Source organism: Homo sapiens, chromosome 3 (genome assembly GCF_000001405.40).
Source record: "Homo sapiens chromosome 3, GRCh38.p14 Primary Assembly".
NCBI classification, from domain to species: Eukaryota; Metazoa; Chordata; class Mammalia; order Primates; family Hominidae; genus Homo; species Homo sapiens.
The window spans coordinates 45,769,779-45,790,401 of NC_000003.12; the positions used below are offsets into that span (position 1 = coordinate 45,769,779).

A 20,623-nucleotide genomic window follows, 5' to 3' on the forward strand; every position below is an offset into this window, starting at 1 on the left:
AATGAAGGTTCTTGCCTTTGGTGAGTAGGGAAAAAAAGGGGGACTTTTTAACTTCATCTCTGAAATGTTCTTTTATATAAAAAAATCTGAGCCCAAAATGACAAAATGTTTACAATTGATCTTTCTGAGTGGTATATATGGGTGTTTGTTATTCTCTCTACTTTTCTGTATTTTAAAAGCTTAGAAAGACAAAAGAAAAAGAGAGAAAGGACAGAGAGGTCCGCCAGGAAGTTTATTATAACTAGCATTCTCGAACAGCCCTCAAGAGAGTGGTGTTAAAGCCTCTCTTCCCCTTGGAGTTGCAGGAAAAGTAATTCAGGATCCTTCTTTATTTTTACAGACCTCGCCTATCTCCCAAGTCAGCAGCTCACCAAGGTTCCCATGAGTGTGTGGAGAGAAGCCAGTCCTTGACCTTGCCTGGGCATCTTACCGTGTCTAGCTCCGATTCCAAGCTGCAGTTTTTGATTTGCGGGAACATCTCGCTGTATTTGCTTGGGTAGGCAGATGCGAGGTAGCCCTTCACCTGCTCCAGGTTGCTGGCTGTCAAAAAGCCATCTTCAAGGTCAAAAGTGTTGGTCAGCAGCAGACTCACCCTGCAGAGCAGACCATCGGATCGACCTTCACTGATCAGAAAGGCAGCTGTCACCAAAGCCTCCCGTCAGCCTCTTCTTTTCTGATTAGGTGAGGAAAGGGAGTCTGTTGCTTGGTGATCTTTTAAAGGGCAGGGTAATTTTGAATGGCACTGAAGAAGCCTCAGATATGAACAGTGATGACAACAGGCACCAAACTCACACAGCTAGGCTATTTTAACCTCTGGACCAACATAGTCCAGCAGAAGTTTCTGTGCTGATGAAAATGCTCTCTATCTGGGCTGTCCAATTTGGTACTCACTGGCCACATATGGCAACTGAGCACTTAATGGTGGACACTGAGCAACTGATTGAAAGTAACAAGGGAATGTACTGAAATATGAATTAAGTTATTTAAATGTGAATTAAGTTGCATTGATTTAAATGTAAATTTGTAAATAGCCACTTGTGGCTAGTGACTACCCAACTGGACAGCATACCTCCTGGATGATGTCTTTGTATTTTGGGCAAGGGGCCACAGAAAGTGAATCCTGCAATCTCTGTGGCTCAGCTAGAGGCTTCTTGGTTACTTCTGAGGTGGGGGAGATGGGGTAGAAGAAACAAAATTTGATCATTGTATGTCCTATTATGCTAAGTGCTCACAACACGCTAACGTGCCCTCATCCCTGCCAGGCAGATGTTGACATGCCCCAGGCCCTCCAGCAACTGGTGGTGGTGTAGGGAGTCCAAATGTGAGCCCTGGATTGAGGACTCCAAAACTGGTGCACTTTGCCCCAGCCCTTGCCCAGGCGACCCTTCAGCTCAGAGCTCAGGGAGGCCTGGGACTCGGTGGGACAGCCCAGGCTTACTTCTTCAAGCAGTTTTCATAATTGAAGGTGGCCTTGAAGCCATAGATGGAGAAGGTGACAATGCTGGCAAATATGGAGGTGAAGCTGTTGATGAGGGACACGATGATGGCGTGCTTCTGGCAGTTGTTGGATGGCTCATTGTAGCTGGCGAAGGCGATCAGGCTGCCGAAGCCCAGGCCAAGTGAGAAGAAGATCTGGGTGGCTGCATTGATCCAGGCCTTGGGGTTGGCCAGCTGCTCTATCTGGAAGGCCAGCAGGGACAGGGCTGATGATCCCTGGGTGGAATCCCAAATGCTCAGACCCGCAACAGGAGAGTAGCCCAGAGAGGGGAAGGAGCTCACCTACAGCACGCAGCCATCAGGGGCACCCCTAGGGCTGGAGACCAGCTCTCCTGGCCCCATCCACTCCCTGGCAGATGAAACACACACCTCAAGCTGCACACCTCCCAGGGCTAAGGTGCTGTGGAGAATACAGGTGCTATGTGGAGGACATAAGGTGCTACGTATCCTCCATAGCACCTCAGCCATAGGAGGTGTGTAACCAGAAGCAGCTATGCTCACCACTATACGCCAGTGCGGAGGTGTGCAATGGAATACTGCAGGGTAAAATAATTAAAACACAAATGGGGCCCTGATTCATAGGCAGTTACTGCACAGGTCTGGGCATTCAGAGATGGAGGGGGTGTGGCCTGGCAGGGGAGGTCTAGGTGTGGGTTGACTCTCGGCACTGACATCGGTGGCGTCTGGAATGGGGAAGGGGAAGGATGACACAGTCATTTTATTTCTAGGGACTGCATTTGCCAAATGAAGAACTTGCCCCATCCCAAAGGCAAGAGTGCACCCTCCATGGATGAACCCTGGGTGTGGGGTGCATGGAGAATGGGTGGGTTGGGAAACTCTGTAGGGAAACGGGTGCGTGGAACCATGTAAGCAGGCAAGCAAGATGACCAGAGTGGTGCTCATGGCAAAAAGCTTGGTCCACAGTCTGAAAGGGGCTTGAGGTGAGGCAGTGGCAGGGGTGCAGCAGTTGGGGGACAGTGAGGATGAAGAGGAGAAGCTGAAAGAAAGACTTAATGCTCCAGAATTAACAGGGAGTGGGGATGACCTGGCTGAGGAGGTGATCCAGTGACTGCAGGTACTCCACACTCCTGCCACACCCTGGTGGGCTCACATCAGCTTCCGTAGGTACAGCGTTGGCCCACTCTCCACCTTTCCCTCTTCCCACCCATCCTGGAAGGTGGCAGGATAAGTGAGGGGTGCCCGTAGGGCCCTTCCGCTTCAGCCCGTACCTTGGGAGTGAACATGTACATGAGGCCATTGGTGGCTCCGTGGAGCGTGAGGCCCCTGATGAGGTAGATGATGAGCACGCAATAGGGCAGTGACGCCGTGAAATACACCACCTGCGGGCATCAGAGGGCAGAGTTGGCCTCCCGGAGCAGTGGGGTCCACAGGACAGACCCATGCCCCATGGAACACCACATCTGGGGTATTCAGGCTGCACCGCCCAGCTGCTGACAGCTGGAAAAGGCATGGAGATTCTTGGTCACACACAGGCTCTGGGTTAGGGCTGGGGAAGTGGGCTGGTGGGATGTGGTTGCTCACAGCTGTGACCAGCACGACATTTCTTATTCAGTAGAGAAGAGGCAAACAGGTACCGAGCCTCTGCCTTCCACCCTCCCTTCAACCTGACCTTATTCTGGAAAGGATTTGAGGTTACCCACAAAAACACATCAGTCACGTTAACATTTCAAAATTGCTAAAGAAATCAGCATGAAAAAAATATATGGGCAATCCAGTAATGAGCCCACAGGAAAAAGCAGCCCATAGAATCTGTGCATAAGTCTCTACCCAGTTTCTGAGCCAGATTCAGCTCTGAGCTTCCTGGTGGCCTACACACAAAGCAGGAACACAATTAAAAGGAAAAAAAAATCTGCAGCTTGGAGGAGGACAGATTTCCCCAGGACTGGGGCCTGAGAGCAGATTGGTCACGAGTGCTCATACAGGAAAGCAGCGAGGTGTAGCGTAGAGGACAATGTCCCCATAATAAACACAATAGGAAATTCAGATCTGATTTTTATGGCAACCCTCCAGAAAGGGTTTACTTCCTTAGGCTTTAACATTACACCTGAATGGACATTTTTGTCAACCAGATCTTCTTTCTCCACCGACATGCATCGTAAGTTCAATGATGTTTTGTTAATATCTTTGGTGTTCATGGTAGCTTTAGTAGTCACCTGTCATGCTCTGGGTGATTCTAACTGTTACAAAGCCATAGAATACAGACCTTCAAGTGCACGTGTGCCTATCCAGGAATGGATTTTTTTCTGTAAATCAACTCATATGTGTACCAGAGCCTCATTTGTAAAGGAAATAAATATTTTGCAAGATTGTCTTTTGTGTAAGAGTTCCCTTAAAGTTTGAGTCTCTCTGTGAGAAATATGGCTGGTGGCCTATGTTCAGGTGGGCTTGAATTACACTTGGCCCTCCCTTCCTATTGAGGTGTGGCATCATCTTCTCATCCATTTCCAAGGCCACCAGAATGGCACTCTGTACGCTGTCACCCAGGGGACGGCAGGTGGAATGTGGGGTGTGTCTTTTATCACTGCTTCTTAGCTGAGGTTGTTGTAACTTGAGAAGAGTAATAAATCCACCCAAGATTATAAGAAACCAGGTAAGAGAGATGAAAAGACAGAGCACTCACTCGTGACCAACATCCATCACAATGGGCACTAAGCAGGCCCTTAGGGCCAGCCCCGAGAATTTCCCTCCTTCCCCCAAGGTGAGCAAGTTTCCTGGAGGCTCATGGAGTCCCTAAGTGGGCAGAATTGCTGGACACGTGATCCAGCCTAATCTATTGGAAGAAACCAATTCTGACCACTCTGCAGAGATTCTGGCAGGAAACAAAGTCGATTCCAACAGAGGATGCCAGGAAATGGCACATGGTCTGTGACAAGATTAGCTCTATTTACATAGAGCTGTTGGGGTACTTTTCCCAGGGAGAAGGGTGTAGCTGAAGCAGAGGAAATAGATGATAAGAATAAATAAGTTTTTATGGCATGACATGGTCTTATGCAACACATTTCAAAGTGATTGGGAAAAGGAATGGTCTCTAATCTCTACCTCTGCAGATGTTGCCCTCTGATCTCTTGGATCATGATCATAATAATCTGGCAAACATAAATTACAAAAACATTTTTTATGAGCATGACAGTATGGCCAGGCTCTACGATGGGACTGAGTGGGCTGCTGCAGGTTCTAAGCTCTCTCGGGGAAAGAGCACCTGTGCTCACTCGTCCCTTTCCTCAGCCATGGCACAGGGGACTTTGGGGGCTAAGAGGCTGGTCATCAGGGGCTCTTAGAAACCAAAATAAAATGCCCTACCAGGCATGATACTGGAGTTGTCCCATGGGCCCTGGAATACCATGGGTAGCTCTGGTCTAATGCCTCAAGAAATACATGGGGGGTGGGGTGTGGCTGGAGGAGACAACTCAGGTAGTCAGAGGGTGAGGACAGGTGGGCTCCTAGGACTCTCAGCAGGTGACAGTTGGAATTGATGACATCATTAAGGCATAGAGAGAGCTATGTGGCTACCAAACCAAGACAATGGGAAGTCTTGGGGTGAGGCTGGGCTTTGCCCTCACTAGCTGTGCCCTTGGGCAGGTCAATTTACCTCTCTAAGCTTCAGGTAACTGGGATCATGAAATCTACCATGAAAGGCTGTTGCCAGAATGACACAATGTGGGTGCTCAAGCCGTGGTGGGTCTACTGTGAGAAGTGACAGTGAATGAGACAGGGTGTGCTAGGCTCCGAGACATCTGCTGAAGCTTCAGGCAGGTGGCGGGTGATGGGAACACTGAAAGCAAACCTTCTACGTGGAGCAGACTAGAGATGAAGGAACATGTCAGCCCCAGTGAAAGTGTGAGCCTTGGGATGCACCAAGAAAGGATTATGGAGATCAAGCCCGACAGCTCTGGAGGGTGATTGGAAGCAGCTTAGAACAAAGGGTCTCAAACTCAGCTGCAAATTAGAATCACCTGGCGAGCTTTTAAACCTCCCCTGCCTCCCCACCCAGTGCTCAGGACACACCCCAGACTGGTTACTGCAGAATTTTGGGGGGCGGGGCTAAGGCATGAGATTTTTGAAAACTCTCCAGAAAATACCAATGTGCAGCTGAGTTGGAGAGCCAGTGGCTAGGGTGTCTCGAGGATACATACAATCTTAAAGAAAAGCAAACTCACTGTCTGGTTGTCTGGGTGGTATGGATTTGGGGCTGACTGCTACAGAAAAACTTTTTTTTTCTAAGAAAGTCCTTGTTTTGAGATTTAGGGTTGCAACTTTAACCATCTCTGGCCCTCTCTATAGTCATCTAGTAGGTGACTTGTCCCAGCAACACCATCTGTGCCCTCTGCCCTAACATAGCTGCTGCCTTTCCACTGCAGAGGGCACTCCCTTGGCATTGCCTAGGGTTGGAGACAGAGGCAGCTGCCCCTTGGTGCACCCTCCCACCCACCAGGAGCACCGGGCTTCTGTGCCTCACTGTCCCACCTTGCCAGTGGACTCGGTGCCACGCAGGATGCACAGGTACACCACCAGCCAGGCCAGGAGGAGGCACAGCGCCGGCTCCCACTGCACACCCCCGTTCTCCTGGAGGGACGGCGAGATATTGAGGGTTTTCCTGTACCAGAAGTACTGTGTGGAGGACGCCTTCTCACACTCCTCATCGTAGCCCGTGTGGTTACCATTCAGTGGGCAGACAGACCACGGCAGGGGATCCTGTGGGACCAAAGCAAGTGTTATCCAGGGAGGTGAAGGCTGAGGACAAAGGCTGTGGCAGGGGTGAGGGAGGTGGCCCTGAGCGGAGACTCTTGGAAGAGAAGGGTGCTGGTCCCCGAAGGGCAGGTGGCTGGAGCCCCTGAAGGCAGACTGGGAGTTGGAGAGTTTGTCAGGGGGCACGGGTGAGGCAGGAAGGGGTTGGAGGAGGGGGCTCTACTCTCGTTGCAATTCTACGGGTGTTCCTTGAGGACTACTGAACTCTGTGGTGGGTCCCAGAGACTGAATAGCAAATGGACCACAGCCAGGCCAGCCCTGATGATGGAACTCCGACCCACGGCCTGTGCACAATCAGCTCAGGCACTTAAACCACACCCTCTGCAGCACTGGCCCAGATTGCTTAGGACTTGGTCAATGATTGAGAGAGTCCCTATTTTTTGGCCAACTCAGAACCAACCAGAGAAAGTGACAGAGAGCCCAGTTCAGAGTAGCTTAAGCAGATGAGAGTCTTACTGGCTCCACCCTGCAAAGTCCAGGAGTCTAACTGCTTCAGGTATAGCTTGACTCTAGCTCAAAGAAGTCACCAGCACCAGGTTCTCTCGGGCTCAGACATGCAGGACAGCTGTGGGGCCTGAACCTCATCTCCTGCTAGCTTCCAAACCCAATGTACATTGCAGGAAATGCCATTCGCCACCAGCACTTAGTGAGCACAGAACCTGAGACTTACGCATCTCAGGACTTGAGGAAATCAGCAAAGACCACCCAAGTGAGAACAAGCAGAGGCTGTTTACTTAGGACTTGCTACAGCAAGGGCGATAGCAGCATCGCTTGCATTTGGCGGGGCTCCAAGGCAGGCGGGGATTGGGAAAGCTTGTTAGTGAGAAAAGAGAAGGCTCCAGGTGTGCCCCCATAGGAGGCTGCTGGCGTGTCACTTATGAACAAAGGAGCCTCAATGGTGCATGCATCATGACCATGACCCGAGGCCAAGTGGTAAACAGTGGTGCTGAGATGGGAGGGAGGGGAGGAAAAGTTACTTCTGACTGTGGGGTAGGAGACCCCAACCCTGCTCTTTGAGGACCAGCCCCACATTGATCAGTTTTGCACATATCTGGGTTCTACAAGCCCAGATTTAATTAGACAAAAACGCATCATTAATGGAAGCAAGTCTGACCACCCCACTGGGCTCAATCCCATATTTCACAGGAGACAGAACCAAGGCCCGGGGTATCACCTAATGGGTCATGGCTACTGTGCCAGTAGGCAGCTGGAGCCCAGGTCTGCACACCCAGACAGTGCTCAGGACTGTCCTGGTGAGGACCTCCACGCCCACCCCTGCAATACCTCCCCAGGCCACCCTAGCCTATTGGAATGTGTGAGCTGGTTTCTTGCTTTGACCCATATCGTGTTCAAAGCTGGCCACCAACAGTCCTTCCCCTTCCCATGTGCACATTTCTCCCATCCAGAAGTGGTGTCTCTTGCCTCAGCCTGTGAGTCTGGGCTGTCCTCCGATGCAAGCTGACCAACTGAATATGGTGAAGAGATGCTGTGTGAGTGACTTCCCGGCCCAGGACTTCAGAACCCTGTAGCTAGCCTCTCACCCTCTTGGAGACCAGCTGTGGGACATCCAGGCTAGCTTCCTGAATGATGCGGGTGCAGGGAGAGGGAGGCACGTGGAGGGAACTGAGGTGCCCAGTGGCAGCCAGCACCAAGTCCCAGGCAGGTGACAGGGGTCCTGGTAGACCTGAAGCCCAGTTGAGCTGCCTAGGCTGACATCCCCTTGGGCCATTTACAGCCTGTGTGGGACTGACCTGAGTCTGTTCCCTGGACTACCTGCTGATGCCAGACCGGGCCTGCTTCCCAGGCTTGGCTACACGACTAAGGCACCCGGGGGTGATGCCCAGGCTGCACCCCCAGTGACTCTGATTTCATCTGTTTGGGATAGGGCCTGGTCATTGGATTTTTCACACCTCCCCACCCTGCACCCCGCACCCCGCAACTTCATCTCCCCAGTGTGCAGCCAGGTTGAAGAAGGTTTAGCGTATAGGAGAACTTGTTAAATGGGCCAGTTCCCAGTCTGACCTCCCTCACTCACCTCTGAACCAGCAGGTGAGGACAAGGATCCCCGCATTTGTGTGCATAACAGCCCAGGTGCTCCTGCTGAGAAGGGCTGGACACAAGGCTGGAAAGCCTGGCCAGGGAGTGAGTAGACAGGAGCACAGACTCCGGGGCCAGGTCCCTGAGTCCAACCCCACCAGCTATGAGCTACTCGGCTCCCCTCTGCTCGGGTGCTCAGTGTGCTCAGCCTCGTGGGGTGGCTGTTTTGATTACATGAGTGAACACTTCTAAAGTGCTGGGACCTATGTCTGGCCCAAAGCACATGTAAGTGAATGTCTGCAGCTACTATTCCTCTCATTATTATGGGACCATGGAGGAGGGCTTCAAAGTAGAGGGACTAAGGGATAAGTCCACAGACCTATGAAGGATGGAATGAATGAATATTTAAGTGATTTTCATGAATCGCTGGCCCCCATACTTCTGACTATTAGAAAAAGATGCCCCTTTCTTGAGGCACTTTATTTTTGCTTTTGGGGGATGAGCAAATTATTCTGATTTTGTTAGGACAAGACACATTACTTCCACTTTTGGAAACTTGTCTTAATAAGTATACAAATCTATAATGCTTACAATGTGTATGGCAAGCCCTTAGTTGGCAGTACTGTTGTGCAGTGCACAAGCTGCCCAACCATACATGAGCCCTGCACAGAGGACAGGAAACAGTCACCAGGCTATAGAGTAAGAAGAGTTGCCCTGTTTCCACTGAGAAGGCTGGGGAGAGGCAGAGTTGTGGCCAGTGTTCATGAAACTCTAGGTTGAACCAGGGAAAGAAGGAGGGACTGCAACTAAGCTCAGGTTACAGCTTTCTTGCCAGAGATACGTGCAATGGGGCAAGCTTGGTGGAGCTCATTGGGAAGCCAGAGTGGGGTATGCCAAATCAGGATTATTAAAGTCATTCACCCAAGCATTCCTCACGCCCCCACAGAGTCAAGGCTATGCCCAAGCACCCCAGAGGCAAACCCAGTTCAGTCCATAGTCCATGCCAGCCCTATCTTGCTTGCGGACCTTGGGGACAGGCATGTCCCATGAAGGCCTGGCTCAGGGGCAAAGGGTAAGGCATTGGCCTGGTTAGCTCCTGCCTCCTCCACTGTTCCCAACTGGGAAGAAGCCAAGGTGAAGGTGGTTCCTGGAAGCAGGTGGGGGCAGTGGAGGATGGGGTTCCTGAGAGTGAAACGGTAGGAGCCAGGTAACAGAAATGAGCATGAGCAGTGGAAAGGAAAATTCCTCTTGTCCTGAATGTACACCAGCTCTCTGTGTGGAATTGGAGTTCTTGCTTCTCTACAATTCTAGCCCCTTCCACTTTTCTACAGAGTGTCAGCTGTAGTTATCATCAGAAATGTGTGGTTTAAAATGTTTAGGAATGGCCCTATTGTGTTACAGGGTGACAATGGTCCTTCTAGGAGAACTTAGGGGTCTGCAGGGAAAAGAAGAGGCTCAGGCTGGAGTCAGAAACCTGGAAGCACGAGTGGCCCTGAGGAAAGCGGGAGAAGGGGACGGGGAGGAAGAGGACAGGCCGTTGCTGTCTTGCTGGATTGAGGGAATCCCTCCCCACCAGTCCTCTCCACAGATTTCCTCCTAGGCACACTGTGCAGTAGTTCTTAATAGTGTGTGTGTGGGGTCACATCCATCAGAGAGAATCCACTGAAAGCCATGGACCTTCTCTCCAAGAACACGCACACTCTCACCGGTGGACTCTTGCTTACAGCGTAAGGGGCCCGTGGAGCCCGGGTTCAGAAGCCCTTCACGTGGTTTGGGGTGCATGGCTTCCCCTCCACCTCACACCACCCACCGGCTCCCCGCCCCGAGGCTGCTCACCTTGCCCCACACCCCCTTCCCCGAGCGGGTGGCCCTGTTTTTCTCTCCCTTTCTCGCTCCTACTCCTGTTCTGGCACGGGCCCCCCGGCTCACCTGGAAGGAGTGGAAGAGGTACCAGAAGGCCCAGGCGTTGATGACGTTGTAGTACATGGAGAGGAAGAAAGAGACCACCACGCTGGCGACCCCTGCGAGGAAGCAGAGGGCCGCGCTGAGGACTGAGGATGGCCCTTCCCCCTCCGCCAGGCCCAGCGTGTGCTCCCAGGACACACCTGTGGCGACCGCCCCGGGGTGGGCGAGGCCTCCCTCCACCAGGTTTGTGTGGTGAGTATTAAGCGAGACCAGGCACCTGTGAACACTTGGGAAGGGTGATTTCTTTTTCTCCAACCTCCCTCCTCACCTTCTGGGACAGGAGGCTGATGACATGTTTTTGAGATCTAACTGCCAGGCACTGTGCTAAATAAGTACTTTATTTACCTTTGGTCCTTACAACAGTATTATCTTCATATCGCAGAAGAGAAAACTGAGGCCTGGAGCCTGCCCAAGACTACCCGGCTGTTAAGTGGCAGAACTGGGTTCACAACCTCATGCTGTGAGAAGCACTGTTGCTGTGAAGTGCTACCTTGTCCAGATGTACAGTTATGCTCCCTCCTTGGCTCACCAGCGGTTGAGTCACCTGGTAGCCAGGAGAGGGGGTGTGAGGAGGCGGTGGGGAGGGGGCTGCCCGTAATTCGGTCAGGCCTGCACAAAACCCAGGGTGCGGCCTGAGAGCACAGAGAGGGGTGGGAGGCAGCAGGGCTCTGGGGCTGGCCCACACCAGCCCTTGAGAACCAGCGTCCCCTCCTCTCCCCAGCCGCAAGTGCTGGGACACTCGGTAGTAGAAACCGGCCATGGTGCCTGTATTTACCCCATAGGCATCCGCAAATGCTATAAACCAGGGCTTCCCCTCCCCACCCCCACTCCACTCTGAGCACTGGTTGTTAAATATTCACCAGCATCCCCTGGTTGGCACAAATATCTGGTATCTTTCCTATGATGCAGAAGATGCCTCTGAGAAGTCCTCTGTGATTGCTTATTCAGGCAGATTGTAAAACTACACACTTCTGTGTTAAAAATTAATAGCCTAGCGAAACCCCATCTCTACTAAAAATACAAAAAATTAGCCAGGTGTGGTGGCGGGTGCCTGTAATTCCAGCTCATCAGGAGGCTGAGGCAGGAGAAACGGTTGAATCCGGGAGTGGAGGTTGCAGTGAGCCGAGATTGTGCCATTGCACTCCAGCCTGGGCAATAAGAGCGAAACTCCGCCTCAAAAAAAAAAAAAAATTAATAGCCATTCAAGACAAGGAGGCAGTCTGGGTTTGGAGATGATTTGTGAGAACACTGGACACATTTCTTCTGCATCTGCAACCAGGTCACATATAAGCTTCCACCCTCTTTGCTCCTGAAACGTCACTCTGCTTTCCTGCCTGCCTTCCTTTCTGGGGTGGGAGGGGTGAGCATCACAGGCTATGGCTACTTCTGGTCAGGGTTCCTTCTGCATGCAGAGGCAGCCCTGGGTCATAAGCAATGTGCAGGGCAGGTGGAGGTTGTCCTGGAAGTGCCTGGGGCTCTGGCTCAAGGTCACTCAGGAGAAGCATGAGATGAAACAGTCCTCTCCTGCTGTCCGTGCGGGCCTCAGCTTCCGCACCCCAGAGACATTAATGGCACTCCACAACACCTCAGCGGTGTAAAGAAGATTAAATGAGCTCATGCACATATATCCTATAGGCTGGCTCCCAGCATGTAGTAGGTGCTTGCTAAAAGAGAGCTGTTATTTAGCAGGGAGAAGTTGGTGAGTTTCCAGAATGGTTGTTAGCTAGGACTTGGAGTTACAGCTGTTTCCCTTTTACAGGTGACCAAGCTGAGGTCCAGAGAAGAGAAGGAGGGTGGCATCTGTTCCCCAAGGGGCATGCATCCTCCCTGTCTTACCGCCCTGTGGGTAGGAAACCCAGCTCCTCTCAGCCCACATTCTATGTCATCCCCACCAGGCCATTTGTTCACCCCAGGCAAGAGCTCTCTCTTGGGCCTTGTGCTCGCCCCTTGATCCAGCAGCTTTGCTGATGGGATCCCACCCACACCCCCATGCTGCCCGGGTCTCTGGGTGGGAGAGGACTGGAGGGGCCCCACGTACCGACACCACTGAGGTACGGGCTGATGGTCCTCCAGGCGCCGATGCTGCCCTGCCGCATGCGCTGCCCCACAGCCAGTTCCAGGTACAAGAGCGGCATTCCCTCCACGATAAGCATGATGATGTAGGGGACCAGGAAACTACCTGTGGATGTCCAGAGCTGAGAGCCAGGCCACCACCAAAAGGCTTTTCTCCACGACCACTCAACCTCTGTGCAAACATCCTTCCATCCTCCTGTCTTTCTACTTGTCCATGCATTCTCCTACCTTTCCATCATCCATCCTCCTCTTTCTACTCATCCTTCATCCTTCTTTCATTCCACATTTTCATCCATCCCTCTTGCTGCCATTCCTCTCATCTATCTATCTACTATTCATTCACCCACTTTCTATCCATCCTTCCATCCAACCATCCATTCATCCATCCGTTCTTCTGTCTATCTTTCCATCCTTCCATCTATCCACCCTACATCCATCCATCCTTCCTTCCTTCCATCCATCTATATTTCCAACCTTCCATTCATCCATCCGTATTTCCATATTTCCATCCATCCATCCATCCATCCATCCATCCATCCATCCAACCATCCATCCATCCTTCCATCCATTCATCTGTCCATCCTTCCATGCATCCTTACATCCATCCTTTCATCTTTTTATCTTCCTACTCAGCCACCTGTCTGTTCGTCCATCCATCTGTGGATGACATGCAGCCATGTCAGTTGTTGAACTCTTTAAATTCATCCTCGCTGGGAGGCAAACTGCCACTGTCCCAAGCTGCTTGAATGCCTTTCTCAATGCCTCCACTGTCCCAGCCCTTCTGCCAAACCCCACATTCCATCTTCTATTTCAGCAACTAATAGTTGATCAGGGCCAAGACAATTGTGTTGTTAAATATGTCAGACATCATGCCTGGATCCATGCATTCAGCTGTCCACCTCTATGCACTTCCTTTGGGCTTTGTGCACAGCCCTGATGGTGCTCCACATGAGGTAGTGTATGAAACAGACACTTACTAAGCACTTACTCTGGGCCAGCCCCTGGCTGGTGTGGAATGGGAGAGTAGCAACTCTGCTCCCTGCCCTTGAGGTTCCCTGCTGTTGGTGATGGTGGGGAGCCAGGGAGTGTGAATTTTGTCAGGGTGAGCCTAACAAAATGTCCAGTGGGAAAAGAGGGCAGGACTTCTGATCAAATAAAACCCAGACACTACAACTGCAAAGATTAAGGGCTGATTACAGAGCAAACTGGATCCTCAGTTGTTAAGGTAAACAACAAAATAACTATGCTTACATGAACATCTAATATTTACCAAAAATGTCTCCATTGTACACACGTGCTGTGCTGTAACCCACTCTTCTCACCCTATGGCATTCCCCAGGCACTCTCCCAATCACAGACCTTTGCATCACCCCTTAAAGAGCTGCATGATGTTCTGCTCTGAAAATGAGCCCAGAATGCATTTAATCAATTGTTAGACACTCAGGCTGTTTCCAGCTTTCTGCCATCCTAAACAAAGCTGTGAAATGAAGCCTGGTCCACTTGTTTGTGTATTTCCTTGGGATACAAATCCCAGAAGTGGAATGGCTGGGGCAAAGACCAGGCAGAGCCCCCATGGCCACACCACAGAAAGAAAGGCATGAGCCGCTTGCATGGGTGGATGAGTGCCCACACCACCAGGCTTGGAGTTCCTAGCTTCATCCTGCTCATGTGGGGGCCTAGAACAAATCCTGCCCTCTCATGTCCAGACACTGCTATAACTCCTCTAGGCCAGGCTCCCTTCCTTTCCTTCAGAACCTTGTTTCAGCACCTTGTGAGTTTTCTCTCAATATCAAAGGAGTCCAAGAGGTCATTGGTGGCTCTCAATCATGAAATATCTGACAATAAAGATTGGGTTCACACACTGAGACTTTGAAGCCACATTCAAACCCTCAGTGGTTATAAGATAATCCTGTTTTTACGCGGGGTGTTAAACAGTAACTATGTAAGGCCTGGCAAGGTCCAGGGACGACTGTCTCTCTGACAGGGTCTGACTGCCCAGTGCCCATGGGTAGGGTGGAAATCTAAAACCTGATGCCAAGTGGGAACATGGGGGCTGTTTGGCCCTAGGCATTAATCATTTCTGTCACTCCTGACCCAACCTATCAAATAAACACATAATCTGGGTGAATTTGCTCTGCAATAAATTTTTCAAGAAATGATGCTAGAACAATTGAACATTCATATGCAGAAAAATGAAACTCAACCCATATCTCAAATTTTATAACAAACAAATCTCAGAATGGATTACAGGCCTATATGAACAACTAAAAGCTATAAAACTTATATAAGAATACAGGAGAAAACCTTTATGAACTTGAGTTTGAGGCAAAGATTTCTTAAATACAATGTTAAAAGCACTATCTATGGAAGAAAAGATTGAGAAATTGGATTTCGTTACTTCTTTGTGAAAGACACTGTTAAGAGAATAAAAACAAAAACTATAGACTGGGAGAAAATACTTGCAAAACACGCATCTTGAGAAAAACTTTGTGCCAAGAATATATAAAGGATTCTCAAAACTCAATAAGAAAAATAACCCTTTCAAAAAATGTAAAAAAAAAATGTGAACAGGCATTTCACCAAAGAATGCCTGTCTTAGTCTGTGCTGCTATAACAGAATACCAGAGACTGGATAATTTACAAAGAACAGAAATTTATTGGCTCATGGTTCTGGAGGCTGGGAAGTCCAAGAGCATGGTGCTAGTATCTGGAGAGGGCCTTCTTACTGCATCATCCCATGGCAGGAGGTGGGAGGGCAAGAGGGAGCAAAGGGAGCAAGAGGGAGCAAGAGGGGGCTGAACTCTCTTTTATAACAAACCCACTCTCTCAATAACAAAAACACTCCTGGGATAATGATACCAATCCATTGACAAGGCCAGAGTCCTCATGACCTAATCACCTCTTAATGGTCCCACTTCTCAACCCTATTGCATTGGAAACTAAGTTTTCAACACATGAGCTTTGGAGGACATATTCAAACCATAGTAGGATGATTCCATTTATATGACATTCTGGAAAAGGCAAAACTATAGGGACAGAAAACAGGTTGGTGGTGGCCAGGAGTAGGGGAGTAGGAAGGGGTTGACTACAAGGGGCATGATTTTGGTGGTAGTTGTGATGGCTAATACTGAGTGTCAAATTGATTGGATAAAGGGATGCAAAGTATTGATCCTGGGTGTGTCTGTGAGGGTGTTGCCAAAGGAGATTAACATTTGAGTTAGTGGGCTGGGAAAGGCAGACCCACCCTTAATCTGGTGGACCCAATCTGATCAGCTGACAGTGAATATAAAGCAGGCAGAAAAAAGTGAAAAGGTGAGCCTGGCTTAGCCTCTCAGCCTACATCTTTCTCCCGTGCTGGATGCTTCCTGCCGTTGAACATCGGACTGCAAGTTCTTCAGTTTTGGGACTCAGACTGGCTTTCCTTGATCCTCAGCTTGCAGACAGCCTATTGTGGGACCTTGTAATCATGTGAGTTAATACTTAATAAACTCCCCTTTCTCTCTCTCTCTCTCTCTCTCTCTCTCTCTCTTCCCCCTATTAGTTCTGTCCCTCTAGGGAACCCTAATACAGTAGTAATACAACTACATGCCTTAAAGGCATGTGTGGAGATTAAATACAGCCACACATTCTTCAGCGCTCCTCCCCTGAAGAGGTGGAGTCTATTCCCCACACTGTGAGGCTGGGCTGGCCTTGGGGCTGGCTTTGTCCAGTAGAATGTGGTGTCCATGTTGGTACCAGAGCCCAGGCCTCAGGATGCCTTGCAGCTTCACCTTCCTTCTCTTGGAGTGTGCCTGAGACAGCCATGTACAGATACCAGACCAGGCTCCAGAGGATGAGAGGCCACGAGGAGGAGAACCGAGGGAGACCAGCCAGCTCAGCACCCACTACCAGGTGTGTGAGGGACCTTCTGGCTGCATGAGCAAGGCCAGACACAAACAGTAAAGGAACAGCTCAGGCACCCACAGAACTGTGAGAAATGATTAATTATTGTTGCTTTAAGTCACTAATTTTTTTTCTTTTTACCTCTCAATATTTTCAGTGTGTATTTCCAAAAACAAGAACATTATCTTATATAATCCCAGTGCAATGAGTAAAATCAGGGAATTAACACCAACATCAAACTATTATTTTATCTGCAGCCCTTTTGCAATTTTCTTGACTGTCCCACTGATGTCCTCTAGGCATCCAGACTCTAGCTCACAAGCCCACAAGGCCTCTAGCTGTCAGGTTTCTTTAGTCTCCTTTAATCTGGGACACCTCCTTAGACATTTTTGCCTTTCTTTGTCTTTCATGACCTTTCACAGTGCTTTAGAGGAGCACTGGCCAGTTACTTTGTGGAATGTCCCTCATTTGGAGTTTTGGCAGAAACACTAAAGTTATCCTGTGTCCTTGTCCAGAGGCACAAGATGTCAATGTGTTCCATTCACGGTGATGTAGATTTTGCTCACTTGGTTGAGGTGGTGTCTGCTGGATTTCTCTGCTGAGAGTTACTATTCTCCCCTTAGAAATAATTATCTTCTTGGAGATATTCTGAGCCTCAGTAACTATCCTATTTCTCATACTTTTGCCCAGTAGTTTTGGCATCCAGTGAAGATTTTTGCCCAAAACGATTATTGCCACACTGGTTGCCAGATGGCGATTTCCTAATTCCATCATTCCTTCTAAGTCCTGGAGTTTTCAAGTGGTTTGTTATGAATAAATAGGTAACTGAGGCACACATTGAGCCCTGTGGTAATGTCTCTGCCACTGTGAGTCCATATTACCCCAGATGAGTGGGACGCTTACAGTCACAGAATTATTGGAAGATGTAGACTCAGCTCAGCCTGGTGAATCCTTACTCATCACCACCTCCCTGGCACCCACTGTCACATCTCCACTGCACCGCCCTCCAGGCAGGTCTTTGTGATTCCACCCTCCAGTCCCCTCCCTGCAGTTTGTTCTCAGATTGTGACACACCTGCCTTTTCCATCCCTAGCTTCTCACCTGGTCAAATCTTCCTTGGCTCCTCCTTCCACCTGGAATCAAACCCATACTCCCTCCCTTGACCTCTGAGGCTTGGGGAACAGGGCTCCCACCTTCCCTTCCCTGCCGCTGGCCTCTCTCCATCCACTGCAGTCACACTGGCCTTCCTGCTGGTCTGGCCTCAGCACCTTGGTTCTTGCTGTTCCTCCTGCCCAGGATGCTTTCTCTCTTCTTTCAGTGCTCTGCCCAGACTTGGCTTCCCCAGAGCCGCCTTCTCTGTCCACCCTCACTAGAACAGCCTTCTTGCCATCTTGGACTCCTTACCCTGCTTGATTTACCTTCTGAACATTTCCCTATGTGAATAATGCTATAATTTTCTTTGTTTACTTGGTGTCTGCCTCTCTACTAGCAAGGAAGCTCTCCTCTTGTTCTCTGCTCTGCTTAGAACAGCACTGGGCAGAGAGCCAGAGTCCATTGAATATTTGTTGAATGCAGGAAAGAATCCTTAGGGTCTCACTGGATCTTCCAGATGCATCACTTCCTCCAAGTGTCACCAGATCACTCAAAACTAAGACCCACCCTCTTGTCTTGCAAGCCCCTGTTGTTGAGGCACCTGCCGCTACACTGAATGTCTACTGCTCTGTCCACACCTCCAACTCCTAAACAGTCAGCTCCTTGAGGGTAGAGATGGGATCTGCATGGCTCATAGTTGATCTCTAGCTCCTAAGGAAGGACCTGGCACAGAGTAGGTGCTCAGTAAATGTTTGTTGAGTAACTGGCTCTACTGTGGTGTATAGCGTAATGCTTGGGCTTGCTGTCCATGTGTTTTCTCTTCTTGTAATCTCCATCTCTTTATCCTGTTCTTCTGAACTGTGGAATAACTTTGGATAGGGTCTCGCTCTGTTGCCCAGGCTGGAGTGCAGTGGTGCGATCACGGCTCACTGCAGCCTCGACCTCCCAGGCTCAAGCAATCCTGCTGCCTCAGCCCCCGTGAGTGGCTGGGCCCAAAGGCATGCATCACTGTGCCTGACTAATTTTCAATTTTTTGTAGAGATGGGGTCTCACTATGTTGCCTAAGCTGACATTACAGGGTGAACCAGTGAACCACTGCACCTGGTCCTGCCATATTTTTTGCTAGGGGAGATCCATACTGGCTCTTGGTGATACCCTGTTTCCAAAAAAAAAAAAAAATGATAAAAAAGAAAAAGAAAGCTATCCCACAGCTCAGAAGAAAAGGATAAAGAGATGGAGATTACAAGAAGAGAAGAGACATGGACAGCAAACCCAAGCGCTACTCTATGTCTAATAAGCGTTACTCAGTTTCAGCAGTTGTGCCTGCAGAAAGAACACTGCAGACACAACTGGTAGAAAAGTACAATCACAAATTCTACAAGTCATTTTCCCAGTTGTGTACATTGAAAGCACTCACTAGTCCTAGGTTAACTTGATGAAAACATTTAATACTTAGACATATAGCCTGTGATCTTTCAGAAATTATAAGATTCACATAATACCATATAAATTTATGTAATATTCTAGGTCCATGATACCTAATAACTAATAAAAAATAAAATTGGCTGCAGAGTTCTCCTTTGCAGAAATGAAAATCTGAAAACAACAGAAAAGCATCTATAGATTTTTGAGTAAAAAACATTGTAGCTAACTCATGTGGCTACAAAGGACAGATGTTCTCAGACATGCTGAGAAAGCGAACCACCTATTTACTATTCCTGAAAAACTTAAGTGCTCATGAACTGCATCCAACCAGTGTTGGATCAAAATAAGGAACTCAGATATGGGGTTGTGTTATAGTAGAACTAACTAGTGGTAAATAAACCAACAAAACAGAATCAAGTCTGAAAATCATACTGTTAATATCATTGTAAAGTTATACAAATGGAAAATGTAATTTCTGAATGAGAAGAAACAAAATATAAAGAGTAAAATAATCATCATAATGTGTCTGAAATCCTAGATTATATCAACAAAAGTTGTTAACTGGAATGGGGGTGAGGAAAGAAGCAAGAAGTACAAGTGTGCTAAAATTTTTTTCTTTCATAGGGTGATATCAACAGATGACATTTCATTCTTGACAGTGATAACTAGAGAAAATAAGTATACTTTCCCCTCAAATTTAAATTAACTGCTAATAGAAAAAATAGGAATTATACCTTCTAAATCACTTGAGAAAAAAAGTGAAGAATATATACTTCATAATGTAAAAGATCAAAACAAAATCCAACAATAATAACTAACAAAAAGGAAAAGTAAGGCAGTACGAAATGTGATGAAAAATAACAGCAAACATAACCTGATAATAAATATAAACGGATCAAATTCCTCCACTAAAACATGAGGACCACTGGATTATAACAGCATAAAACTTTACGTGACTTAAACTTCCACAACTGGAGAATGGTTAAGTAAGTTATGTTACCTCTGTAAATGGAATATTATGGAGCTATTTAAGCTTATATTTTCAAAAAATATTACATGATTTTGGAAAGGATTAAAATAAGTTAATTTTGAAAAAGCAAAATACCAAGTCACATATAAAAATATGGTTCTAATTTTTTACAGCAAAAATGTTAACAGTCATTACCTCTGGGTGGTGGAATTTCTGGTGATTTCGTATTTTATTATTTGTATATTTCTGCATTTTACAGAATTTTTTCCTAACTTTTATATTTTTAGTAGAGATGAGGTCTCACTATATTGCTCAGGCTGATCTTGAACTCCTGAGCTCAAGTGATCCTCCTGCCTCGGCCTCCCAAAGTGCTGGGATTACAGGCATGAGCCTCCACACCCGGCCCTTTTACACAATTTCTACGATGAACACTCATTACATTTATAACCCCCAAACTCACACCATATGTTATTCTAGAGCATGTTGTTGCTTATTTTTCTAATTATCATAGCCAGTACGTTGTCTATTTGCTAAACCTAAGAATCTCACTAGAAGAGACATTCCTTTCTGTATGAAATGTATCACTGCAAGCCCTCACATCATAATCTGTCTCCTTTGAGGGCCACAGAGATGCCCGCCCGAGTCAGTGCCTTTCATGGGAAAGCTTACTCAGGTGTCCAAACTCTTTCTCTCCCTCCACTTACATATCTTTTTTTCCAAAAACAACAACAACAAAAACAAACAAACAAACAAAAAACACAGCAGGGATTTTTTGTAAACCTTTTTTTTTTCTTTCTGGGGCATGTGTGTGCTTGTGTATGTGTGTGCATATACACAATGTTTAATGTAATGTTTAATGTAAGGAACACCGAGCACACCAGGGGATGCTGAAGCTGCTGGCCTGGGGGTTCCACT

General features: G+C 48.4%; 1 protein-coding gene across 9 annotated transcripts in view; it reads right to left on the minus strand.

Annotated features, from left to right (window-relative positions):
- Positions 1-20,623, minus strand: part of SLC6A20 (solute carrier family 6 member 20) — a 41,088-nt gene that overhangs the window by 14,330 nt on the left and 6,135 nt on the right. For 3 of the 9 annotated variants that reach the window (NR_176012.1, NM_001406066.1, NM_020208.4), the window contains exons 2-7: positions 12,305-12,445; positions 10,231-10,322; positions 5,983-6,210; positions 2,727-2,837; positions 1,439-1,680; positions 431-593 (exon numbers count right to left, since the gene is read on the minus strand). Coding sequence is in view for 7 of the 9 variants with exons in the window: in NM_001406066.1 (NP_001392995.1) it covers positions 431-593; positions 1,439-1,680; positions 2,727-2,837; positions 5,983-6,210; positions 10,231-10,322; positions 12,305-12,445 (977 nt within the window). In the remaining 2 variants the exon portion in view is untranslated. Of the gene's footprint in view, positions 1-430; positions 674-1,438; positions 1,714-2,726; positions 2,838-5,982; positions 6,211-10,230; positions 10,323-10,611; positions 11,307-12,304; positions 12,446-20,623 lie in introns of those variants that run through there. The other 6 variants (NM_001406069.1, NM_022405.4, NR_176011.1 and 3 more) reach the window with 5 other exon arrangements.